General features: G+C 33.9%; 2 long non-coding RNA genes across 3 annotated transcripts in view; one reads left to right on the top strand and one right to left on the bottom strand.

Moving 5' to 3' along the window:
• Positions 1–12,836, bottom strand: part of LINC02476 (long intergenic non-protein coding RNA 2476) — a 287,946-nt gene that overhangs the window by 85,688 nt on the left and 189,422 nt on the right. The window lies entirely within an intron of this gene.
• On the top strand, positions 1,455–7,733 carry LOC107986840 (uncharacterized). The gene is made up of 3 exons (XR_001745345.3): positions 1,455–1,560; positions 3,091–3,190; positions 7,648–7,733. It is a non-coding gene; the product is annotated as an uncharacterized LOC107986840 (long non-coding RNA).

Here is a 12,836-nt window from a genome sequence, read left to right on the forward strand (position 1 = left end):
TCTAAATACCTTAACTTTGGGTGTTAGGGCTGCAACATATGAATTTGAGGGAGGGCAGGGTGGGCCCAATTCAGTCCAAAGCAAAATCTTTATTTCTTTTTTACTGTTGAAAGATAATTTCACCAGATTCAGTATTCCAGTTTCATGGGGTTTTTCCTTCAATGCTTTAAATGTTTCACTCTATTATCTTCTTGCTTGCATGGTTTCTGACAAGAAATTCACTATAATTTTTATTCTCATTTCTTTATAGGTAACATTTTCATACTCTGGTATTTTTCAAGGTTTGCTTTTTGACTTTGTTTTTCTACAGATTGAATATGCTATTTACATATTTAGATTTTTTTTCAAAATTATCCTGCTTCATTTTCTCAGTGCTTCCTGGACTTGTTGTTTGGTCTTTGTCATTAATTTTGAAAAAAAACTCTTAACTGTTATTACATCGAATATTTTTTCTGCTTTATTTTCTCTTTCTCTTTGGTTTCAGATTATGCATATATTACACCTTTTGTAATTGTCCCACACATCTTGGATGTTCTCTTTCATTTTTTTTTACAACTATACTTTTTCTTTGCATTTATGTTTGAGAAGTTTCCATTGTCATTTTCAAGCCTACTGATTCTTTCCTTAGGCACAATTCAATGTGTTATTCCATCAAAAGCAGATTTTCCTTTTTTTTTTTTTTTAGCATGTTAAGATTCTTTCTTAGAGTTGCACTCTTTCTGAAGAGTTGATCTATTCTTCCACGTTCATCAATTTTTCATTTGATTTCTTAGCATATTATACATAGATACTTTAAATTACCGCTGTGGTGATTCCAAAATTTGTGTCATATCTGAGTCTGGTTCTGTTGGTTGCTCTAACACTCCAGAGGTGTTTTGTTGCTGGCATTTTCTGTTGTGTATGTGTGTGTTTGCCTTTTAGCATGCCTTGTAATTTTTGGTTCAAAGTCAGACATGATGTATCTGATAACAGAAACTAAGAAAAATGGGTCTTTGTTGTGAGAGATTATGGAGATCTTCCTAGAAGGTAACTTGTGATTATAGTTTTCTAGAGCTGTTGCTGCCTGAGACATTAATACTCTCAGGTGTTGTTTTTTGTTCCCCCTGTGGTCTTTAGGTTTTACTAGAAACAAAACTTCCTGATGTATAGTCTGACACTTGCAATTCTTTCAGCTGTAATCCTCTGTTTTATACAGTAGCATTATTGGTATTGTGGTGAAAGGTGAGGAAAAAGAAAATGCTCTATAATCCTTTTATTAGGTCCAGATATTTTCAGTGGGTCTGTGTGTCTGAGCCGTTACCTTCATAAATGCTTTTTTGATCTCCTTGTCTGAAACTCAGTTGATACAGGAAGTTGATCTGGGAAGGGTAGAGCGGCCTCAACTTAGGTACTTCCTTTTTCCCACAATAGTTAGGCTTGGGTATTTTCCCTTGAGGGCAGTTGGAGAACACAAAGTTCGGTGTGTATTTCAAAATTGCCATCTTTTCTCTCTCTGCATTGGAAGCATAATGGGATTTCTTCACCAATCTTCAGCACAAAAATCTGGTGGGGTTCCTGGAGGTAAAATTTATGAAAATTTGGGGCTCCCTCTAACACTAAGTCTCCTGGAGTTTTTAACTCTCAAGCTAGAACACACTAAGCATTCAAATTGTATCAGAGTTTAAGTGTTTCTACCAGTAGTGGCTCCAGGAGTAGATTTCTGCTCCTGGGTTTCTATTTCGAGTAAGCTGTGATTCTCGGTATCTGCCTTTCTCTTCAGTTTTCAGGACAGTGGTTTATTATTTCTCTTCAATTTTCAGAAGAATCTAAGAAGAGTTGTTGGTTTTCAGTGTGTTCAGCTTTTTTCTTGTTATGAAAATAAAAACAGCAGATTCCAAGCTCTTTATATCTCAAAGTAGAAACTAGAATTCTCTAATATTTGTATTGAATTACTTATAAAATGCAAAGAAACCACCAAAAAGTTCTAGAATGCTTTATTTCTAAATGCAATCTAGTGACATTTCCCTCTTTATGTAACGTTTGTATTTCTAAATGTATGGTGATAACTGTACTCCCTGAAATTAGATTTCTGCAATTAGCACCTTAATTTGCCTTGCTTTGAAATGTGGATCTGGGAATTAGCACCTTCCAGATGCAGACTTTCTGGATTATATTAAAGATCAAAGACACAAACATACGGGAAAAAGTTAATGTGAGACAACTATGTGGGATACACTTTTTTATTGTAGTTTTTCTTTAAAAATTTTGTTTCTAATGCCTTACTTTAGGAAAATAAAATTCACTGATATAAAGTATGGATTTAATAATGCTTTAATGATGAAAATAAATGATACTTGCAAATAAACAGAATAAAATGTTAAGATCAATTCAAAAAGATATTTTAGATGTCATGAAAACTGATATGACTTCATTTTAAGCCTAAATTCTCTTATTTTTCATTTCATATTTTCACTATCATCTTATCTTTACATGTTATTTATCAAGAATAGAATTACAAATAGAGATAAAGCATATGGTTTTCTTGAAATCCTTAGTTTGTTAGAGCATCAGTCTATTCATCTTTATCACTACCTGTTTATCTTTAAAAAAATCTGTTTCTTTATCTGTTGGTAATTGCTAATAAACCTTATTAATATACAAAAAGTATTTTGAGGAATTATCCAAATTGTTATATGTTAAAACAAGTTTATAAAGTTGCATACTATAAGGAATCCCAAGGGTTTCAGGTAGAATGGAATTATTTTATTTCTGTTATTAATATAATAATTAAGTCTTAAACAGATGAGTACATAGGTGCTTCCAGTTTTCAAACCCCATAGAATTGATCATTTAAGATCTATGCATTTTATTTTATTAGACCTAAATTTTAAAAAATGGCAAAATGCAAAAGTGATGGCATTTACAAGTTTATTTTAGTTATAATTTACACTATTCGTTTGAATATATATTTGTATTGGTACTTTTTTCAGGATATATAGAAGCCTAATCATATGTAAAGACTGACAAATAATCTTGGGAATATATACAACTTTTGTTACTTTAGGCTGCTTTTATCTATCAATGTTAATGGGCTATATTTTTGTTTTTCAGATAATAAAGGCTACTATAAGCTTTATAGATTCAACATGCTTACTCTCAGCATCACCCAGGATGATCTTGTACAGTACAAATCAGAAAATGGGATATTAAGGTAAGAATTTCTCAAAATTTGGATAGAACCAGATTGAAATGGCTTATTTGATCTATGAGCTTATAGATTATATTGTATGTGCATAAAATCTATTGCCCAGAGAAGAAACAAAATATATGAAATACAATTGGGCAGGCTTACGAGGCTTATTTTGTTCCTATTAGTCACCTAAGAACAGAGCATTTAAGAACAATATATTTTGCCATAGTATTGCCACTTTTAACAAAGTATATCAAAGGATTCTTTTCATAGTCATGGAAAACTCTAAATCTAAATTTCACTAAAAAGTTAAAAAGTCCCACACCAGATTCTACTTACTTACACAACTATAAATTACAAGATCTTCCATCTAAGTCCATACTTTATATTATATGACAGCCACTTTTGATATGCAATACCTTCTTAAATTTCTTCCTCTGTGTTGCTTGGGTAGCCACACAGCAACAAATTTCAGCATGTTTTTTTGGTTCATGTATTGCTTCCAGGTATTTTAGTTGATGCTTTCACAAATACAGTTATGCCTCAGTGACTTGCCAAGCAATACTACAATGCACAATAGTACACTAGTTTCAGTGTTAAAAGGCAAAGCTGTTACAATGGTAAGTTTTCATGGCAAGAAAAAATTCTAACCACCTGTGCAAGAAAGGGTTAATTCACCAGGCGGATTTTACTGTTATCTCTGTTATATAAATGCTATATTAAATGTAGACGCTCAGAAACATATGATCATTTTGCTGGAAAACAGCCAAGGACAAGAGCCAGAAGGATAGGCTGTGCAGGAAAGGGCAGACCTGGGTTTCTCCAATACTGCAAATTCCTAAGAAAAGCTTGTATTTCGCACTGATCCTTAAGATGGCTGAGCCTGTAGAATATTCTGCCTGTTAAGAGTGTTTTCATATTTCTGAAGACTTAGGCTGTGCTATACTATTTTGACCAGAGAGTTTATGCTAAATATACAATTAATGGTGAATATATTTTCTAAACCTGATCATACAGTGACCAGTATAACAAAACAGTTTATGCTAACAAATGTGATTTATGGCGAATGCCTGTTTTTACCCTAGATAAAGGTAAAGGGTTTTTTTTTTGTTTGTTTTTTGTTGTTTTTTTTTCTTCCCCTGGATAAAGGGGTTCTGGGGTCTGAGTAACTAAGGCCAGTCATGCAGACACTCCATGTTTATATGACTGACAGTAAAAGCCTGGACATCAAGACTTAGTGAAATTCCATGGTTGGCAACACTTTGTGTATGTTTTCACATAGCATTCCTGGGAGAATCAGGTCTTCCCTTGTATGCCTCCACTGAATGGGGATACCTAGAAGTTTGTGCTGCTTTGACCCGAACTTCTCTCCATATGCCTTTTTTTCTTTGCTTATTCTAATTTGTATCTTTGTGGTGTCATAAATGATAACCTTAAGTGTAACAGTATCTGAGTCCTGTGAATCCTTCTAGCTCATAGAATCTAAAGCAGTCTTAAGGGCCTCTGACACAACACTGTTTCCCATGAGATAAATAAGAATTTAGAAGACATATATTCAACAGCTTAAAGGCATAGTAATTTTGCTAGAAACTTTTATCTGTTACAGAAAGCTATACAATGGCAACTAAAGAGGTTATCCAGGCAATTGCAATTAAAAAAAAGTCTCGATAGAGGCTTTCTTTTCTTTCTTTCTTTCTTTCTTTCTTTCTTTCTTTCTTTCTTTCTTTCTTTCTTTGTCTTTCTTTTTTTAACCATACTTTCTAAAACCTGATTTGTTTATTAGGTCTCACCACTTAGATAAGGAGATATTTTTTAGTTCATAGCATGGAGGATTTTTCTATGAATTCCTGAGGAAAGTTGTTACTCATTAAAATGAAGATCTGTATCCATTTTCAAAACATGAAAATATTGCTAAATGTTAACTATGCTATTTTGTTCATCATAGATCTGGAAATGCTATCTCCAGAATGCTATTGAATTTACATAGTATTTATATATGCGATAGCAAAAATACTAAAGAAATTTCTTGTGCTAGTCTAGAATCTAGTTTCACTCAGTTTTGAGAATATATCTAATCCAAACATAAAATTTGTATTTTTACACTACCTTTAATGAAAAAGCATTGAGATCCTTCTTCATTAGCTTGAATCTCCTGTACCTTGAATATTGTGTTATGTTTATAACAGCACTGTGTTTGTAGGGATAACCATTTGTAATTCTAACTTAATCTGTATTGAAAAGTCATTAAGAAGTATAAAGCTCTTCATATTTGGCACAATAAATGTAGCCATGAGGATGAAGACATGAAAAAGTGATTTATTTATTTGTGAAATACAGGCTTATCCATATCTACCACATACCTAATCTCGCTTAAACCATGTAGGGTCTATGATGCTAAATATTCACACTACTTACCAAGCATGCTGAAATAAATCGTGGGTGATCTCCATGTCATAGCTAATATCAAGGATATTTTGGCATTAATTTCCAATGTATGGAATTTTTATTCTAACATTTTTTAGATATTTAGCAAATATTTTAGAATAAATTAATAGAAACACAGCTGTTTCTCAATTACAATTGCCACTATATCTCTGACAGCTGAATGACTTTGAATTTTATTTTGAGTAGTAAAAGATGCATAAATTTCTTTCCTAGAGGAGAATGCAATATTTAAAGTTCATTACAAATTATTTAGCCAGTCATCTGAGAAAGAAAACCTGCCAAATTCCATGAGACAATGAGTTGGAAATGATAGTTGTGGACAGGTAGTTCATTATGAAGAATAAGAATAAAAAACATGCAATTACTGGGAATAATGGTTTTCTTCTATATGGCTGAATGCTGAAATGATTCTGTTTTCGCTGTGTGCAAGAGAGTTTATTTCAAACAAGCTAACTAACATTGGACAGAGCTTTTGTTTAGAAAGTTGAGAAGCTATTCAGGAAAGAAGAAGATAATAAAACTCATATAAGTTGAAACTGAAACTTGAGTATGTCATACTGAAACACATACCACGTACCTTCCTACATGTACACACACACACACACACACACACAGAGAGAGAGAGAGAGAGAGAAAGAGAGACAGAGAAATACATAATCAAAAAATATTAAAAAAGAAATTTGTACATATTGCTGATTATAAAAATATCGTTTTTCTACCTAAGAAGAAAAATGACTTTGTTAGATTTAAAGAAAATTATGCTGAAAATTCTGAGAAGGCTGTAATGTAGGAAGCATTAAGAATCTGTCTCTTTGCCTGGTGTGGTGGTTTACACCTGTAATCCCAGCACTTTGGGAGGCCAGGGAGGTTGGATCACCTGAGGTCAGGAGCTTGGGACCAGCCTGCTCAACATGGGGAAACCCCATCTCTACTAAAAATAAAAAAATTAGCCAGGCGTGATGGAGCACGCCTGTAGTCCCAGCTACTCGGGAGGCGGAGTCAGGAGAATTGCTGCTTGAACCCAGGAGGCAGAAGTTGCAGTGAGCCAAGATCGTGCCACTGCACTCCAGCCTGAGTAATAGAGTAAGACTCTGTCTCAAAAAAAAAAAAAAAAAAAAAAAAAAAAAGAAATGAGATCCTGTGGCTTATTAACCGTCATGAGAATAGTATGGGAAAGACCCACCCCCATGATTCAATTACCTCCCACCGGCTTCCTCCCACAACACATGGCAATTCATGATACAATTTAGGTTGAGAAACAGCCAAACTATATCATTCCACCTCTGGTCCCTCCCAAATCTCATGTCTTCACATTTAAAAAATAATCATGCCTTCCCAACAGTCCCCCAAAGTCTTAACTCATTTCAGAGATCTCAGAAGTTCACAGTCCAAAGTCTCATCTGAGACAAGGCAAGTCCCTCCTGCCTATGAGCCTGTAAAATCAAAAGCAAGTTAACTACTTCCTAGATACAATAACGGCAAAAAGCGTTAGGTAAATACAGCCATTCCAAATAGGATAAATGGTCCAAAACAAAGGGGCTACAGGCCCCGTGCAAGTCCAAAATCCATTGGGGCAGTCAAATATTAAAGCTCCAAAATCATCTCCTTTGACCTCATGTATCATCCGGGTGATGCTGATGCAAGAGATGGGTTCCATATGGTCTTAGGCAGCTCTGCACTTGTGGCTTTGCAGGGTACAGCCTCCCTACGGGCTGCTTTCAATGGGCTGGCATTGAGCATCTGCACCTTTTCCAGGCAAATGGTGCAAGCTCTTGGTTGATCTACCATTCTAGGGTCTGGAGGACAGATGGTGGCCCTATTCTCACAGCACCACTAGGTGATTCCCTAGTAGGAACTCTGTGGGAGGGCTCTGACCCCACATTTTCATTTTTGCACTGCTCTAGCAGAGGTTCTCCATGAGCGCCATGTCCCTACAGTAAACTTCTGTGTGGACATCCAGGAATTTCCATACATCCTCTGAAATGTAGGCTGAGGTTCCCAAACCTCAATTCTTGACTTTTGTGCACCCACAGGCTCAACACCATGTGGAAGCTGCCAAGGCATGGGGCTTGCATGCTCTGAAGCCACACCCGAGCTGTTCTTGACCCCTTTTAGTCATGGCAGGAGTGACTGGGACACTGGGCACCAATTCCTAGACTGCACAAAGAAGAGGGACCCTGAGACGGGCCCACAAACCATTTTGTTTTTCCTAGCCCTTTGGGTCTGTGGTGGGAGGGGCTGCTACAAGAATCTCTGACATGCCCTGAAGATATTTTCCCCATTTTCTTGGGGATTAACATTCAGCTTCTCATTACTTATGCAAATTTATGCAGCCAGCTTGAATTTCTCCTCAGAAAATCAGTTTTTGTCTATCACATTGTCAGGCTGGAAATTTTCAGAACTTTTATGATCTGCTTCCCCTTTAAAACTGAATGGCTTTAACAGCACCCAAGTCAACCCTTGAATGCTTTGTTTAGAAATTTCTTCTGCCAGATACGCTAAATCAACTCTCTCAAGTTCAAAGTTCCACAAATCTCTAGAGCAGGGATAAAATGCTGCCCGTCTCTTTGCTAAAACATAACAAGGGTCACCTTTGCTCCAGTTCCCAACAAGTTCCTCATCTTCATCTGAGAACACCTCAGCCTGGATTTCATTGTTCCTATCATTACCAGCATTTTGGTCAAAGCCATTCAACAAGTCTCCAGGGAGTTCCAAACTTTCCCACGTTTTTCTGTCTCCTTCCGAGCCCTCTGAACTGTTCCACCCTCTGCCTGTTACCCAGTTCCAAAGTCACTTCCATGTTTTCAGTTTTCTTTACAGCAGTGCTCCACTCTACTGGTACCAATTTACTGTATTAGTCTGTTCTCACGCTGCTGATAAAGTCATACCTGAGACAGGGTAATTTATAAGGAAAAAGAGGTTTAATGGACTCACAGTTCCGCAGGGCTGGGGAGGCCTCACAATCATGGCAGAAGGCAAGGAGGAGTAAGTCAGGTCTTACGTGGATGGTGGCAGGCAAAGAGAGAGCTCTCTGCAGGGAAACTTCCCCTTATAAAATCGTCAGTTCTCATGAGACTTATTCACTATCACGCGAACAGCATGGGAAAGACCAGCCCCGAGGATTCAATTACCTCACAGCTATTCCCTCCAACAACATGTGGGAATTTAAGATGAGATTTTGGTGGGGATAGGGCCAAACCATATGACCTTTCAATGTTCAATATCAACTAAGCACAAATAAATATAGTAATGTAGGAAACGAGGGACAAAAAAGCTATAAGGCATATAGAAAGTAAATAGTAAAATGAGACATATGACTCCCTCCTTATTAGTAATAACTTTAAATATAAATGAATTAAACTCTTCAATCAAAAAACAGAGTAAAAAATAGAAGTTTTGACTTATGATGTATACAAAAGACTCATTTTAGATCTAAAGACACAAATTGATTGAAAATAAAAGGAGGGAGAAGGATATTCCATGCAAATAGTTACAAAAAGAGAACAAGGATGGCTATACTAATGTGAGAAAAAAAATACTTTAAACCAAAACAGTTAACAAGAGACAAATAAAGACATTATGTCTTGATAAAAGGTTAAATACAGCAAGATAAAATATCAATTATAAACTTATATGCACCTAATAGCAGACCATGAAAATGTATGTAGCAATAACTGACTGAATTGAGGACAGAAATAGATAGTTCTACAGTAATAATAGGAGACTTTAATATCCCACCCTCAATATTGTATAGAATAACCAGGCAGAAAATTCATAAGGAAATAGAAGAGTTAAACAGCATAATAAGCCAAATAGATCTAACAGACACTTAAATAACCCCGTAGCCAACACCAATATAATACACATTTTTCTCAAGTGTACATGGAACATTTTCCAGGACAGACCACAATTTAGGCCACAAATTAAGTCCCAATTGATTTAAAAATATATATAATTATACAAATTATCCTCTCTAACCACAACAGAAGAATATACTTAGAAATAAAAAATATAAGGGAAAATGAAAAATTTATAAATATTTAGAAATTATTTTAAAAATATACAAACAAAATATTAAAGGAAAACCACAAGAGAAATTAGAAAATACTTCAGAGATAATTAAACTTAAAAACATAACATACTAAAACTTATGGGACATGGCAAAATCAGTGCCAAGTGGGAAATTTACAGCTTTTAATTCTTATATTAAAAAAAAAGAGAGAGAGATCACAAATCAGCAATGTAACTTTACAGTTTAACAAAATAGTAAAAGCAAAACAATTAAATCCACAGTTACGAAAAGTAAAGATAATAAAAGAACTGAGTAGAGGCAAATTAAATAGAGAGTAGAAAAAAATAGAGAAAATCAATGAAACCCAGAGATAATTCTTTGAAAAGTTCAACAAAACAGACAAATCATTACCCAGATGGACTAAAAAGAGACAGAAGAATCAAGTTACAGAAAATAAAAAAATAGAAGACTTAAAGTCAGAAATGAAAGAGGGAAGACTAATACTTATTCCATAAAGCTAAAAAGGATCAAAAGAGAGTGCTATGAACAATTGTATGCCAAAAAACTGGATAACCTACATAAAGTGAATAAATTCCCAGGACACAAATCTTATCAAGACTAAATCATGAAGAAATAAAAAGAAAATGAATAAAACTAAAAAAAGTAAGGAGAATGAATTAGCAATTTAAAATTTTCTGACAAAGCAAAGCCCTGGACCTGATGTAATCACTGGTGAAGTCTACAAAATACTTAAACAAGAACATAATATTTTCTCAAAATGTTCCAAAACATTGAAGAGGAGGGAACATGTCTTAATTCATCCTATGAGGCTAGCATTATTGTGATACCAAATACACTAAAGAAAAAAAAATCAATGTTTTTTATAAATATTTATGTAAAACTTCTCAACAAAATACTATTAAACTGAATTTAGCACCATATTAAAAGTATTATATACCATGACAATATGGGATTTATTTCCAGAATGCAAGAATGGTTAAATACACAAAAGTTGATCAATGTAATATACCATATTAACAGAATTTTGAAAATGCACATTATACTCTAAATTGTTGCAGAGAAAGTATTTGACAAAATTTAACACCCTTACATAGGACAAACATTCAATAAAGTAGAAGCAGAACTACCTCAACATAATAAAAGTCACATACAAAAATCTCACAATGAACATTCTACTAAGTAATGAAAGATTGAAAGTGTTTCTTCTAAGATTAGGAATTAGGCAAGTATGCTCATTTTTGCCACTTCCATTCAACACAACACTGGAAATTCTAGCTGGAGCATTTATACAAGTAAAAGAAATAAAGTCATCCAAATTGGAAAGAATGAAGTAAAATTATCTATTTTCATAGGTTATATTATCTAATATATAAAAAACTCTAAGTGTTACACACACACAAACACAAACACATACATATGCGGTTAGAAATAATACATAAACTCAGCAAAGTAGCGGAACGCAAAGTCAACACACACACACACACACACACACACAAATTACACTTCTATGCACAAACAATAAACCTTGTGAGGAGACTAAGAAAAAAATACCATTGACAATAGCATAAAAAAATACTTAAGAATAAACTTAACCCAAGGAGGTGAAAAGCTTATAGATCAAAAACTTTGAAACATTGCTGAAATAAAGAGGACATAAATAAATGAAAACATATCTACTTTTCATGGACTGGAAGACTTAATATTGTTGTCAATATTACCCAAAGCAATCTATACATTTAATGCAATCCCTATTAAAATATCAATAACATTTTTTGTAGCAATAAAAAACCCTTACTAAAATCCACATAAAATCTCAGACACTCCAAAAACCAAAACATTCCTGAAAAAGAACAAACCTGGAAAACTCACACTTTCTAATTTCAAAACTTACTACAAACTACAGTAATCAAAGCGTTGTGGCATTGGCATAAAGACACATAGAACAATGAAATGCAATAAAGAATCAATAAATAAGCCCTCTCATATATTGTCAAGTAATTTTTTACAAAAGTTTCAAGACAGTTTAATGGAGAAAGACCACGTCTATCAGACAAATGTTGCTGGGAAAAGTAGACACCCATATGCCAAAAAACAAAACAAAACAACAACAAAAAACCTATTTGGGCCCTTACTGAACACTACATGTGTAACTTAACATAAATTGAATGAAAACTTAAATGTAAGACCTGAAACTACTAAAATCTGGTGGGAAAACATACAGTAAAAGCTTCGTGACATTGGATTTGGCAATAAAATTTTGGATATGACACCAAAGGCACTAAAAGAAAAGAAAAAAAAATAGACAAATTGGAGTTGATGAAACTTCTTTAAAAATGTAAATCAAAAGACACTATCCAAAGAGTAAAAAGGCAACCCACAGAATGGGAGAAAACATTTGCCAATTATATATCTGATAAGGAATTAATAGCCAGAATATATGGAGATCTATTAAATCACAACAACAACAAAAAAAGACCTAATTTAAAAAATAGGCAAAAGACTTGAAGTCATTTTTCTAAAAAAAAAAAATGTCTAATAAACACATGAAAATATGCTAAAAATCATGGATCATTAAGGAAATGCAATTGAAAGTATAAAGAGAAGCCACCCATTAGGATGACATATATATATATATATATATATATATATATATTAGGATGTATATATATACATATATTCTGCAATAAACCCAAATGTACAAATATCTCCTTAAGAACCTGGTTTCAATACTTTTGAGTGTATACACAGAAGTGAAATTGTTGGATCATATTTTAAGTTTTTTGAGGAACCACTATACTGTTTTTCACAGTTGCTGTACAATTTTATATTACCACTAACTGGTCACAAGGATTTCAATTACTACATAGCCACACCAACGCTCCAGTGACTTTTATTTTCTGGGATACATATATATATGTAATATAAAATCATACAGCAACTGTGAAAAACAGTATAGTCATTCCTCAAAAAACTTAAAATATGATTGTATTCAAAGTATTGAAACCAGGTTCTTAAGGAAATATTTGTACATTTGGGTTTATTGCAGAATTATTCACAATAGCTAAAAGGTGGGGCCAGTCCAAGAATCATTGACTGATAAATGGGTAAACAGAATGTGGCATACAGATACAATATTATTCATTGTATACAATATTATTAATTGTATGTATATACCACATTCTGTTTACC

The sequence above is a fragment of the Homo sapiens genome, chromosome 7 (assembly GCF_000001405.40).
Source record: "Homo sapiens chromosome 7, GRCh38.p14 Primary Assembly".
In the NCBI taxonomy this organism is placed as follows: Eukaryota; Metazoa; Chordata; class Mammalia; order Primates; family Hominidae; genus Homo; species Homo sapiens.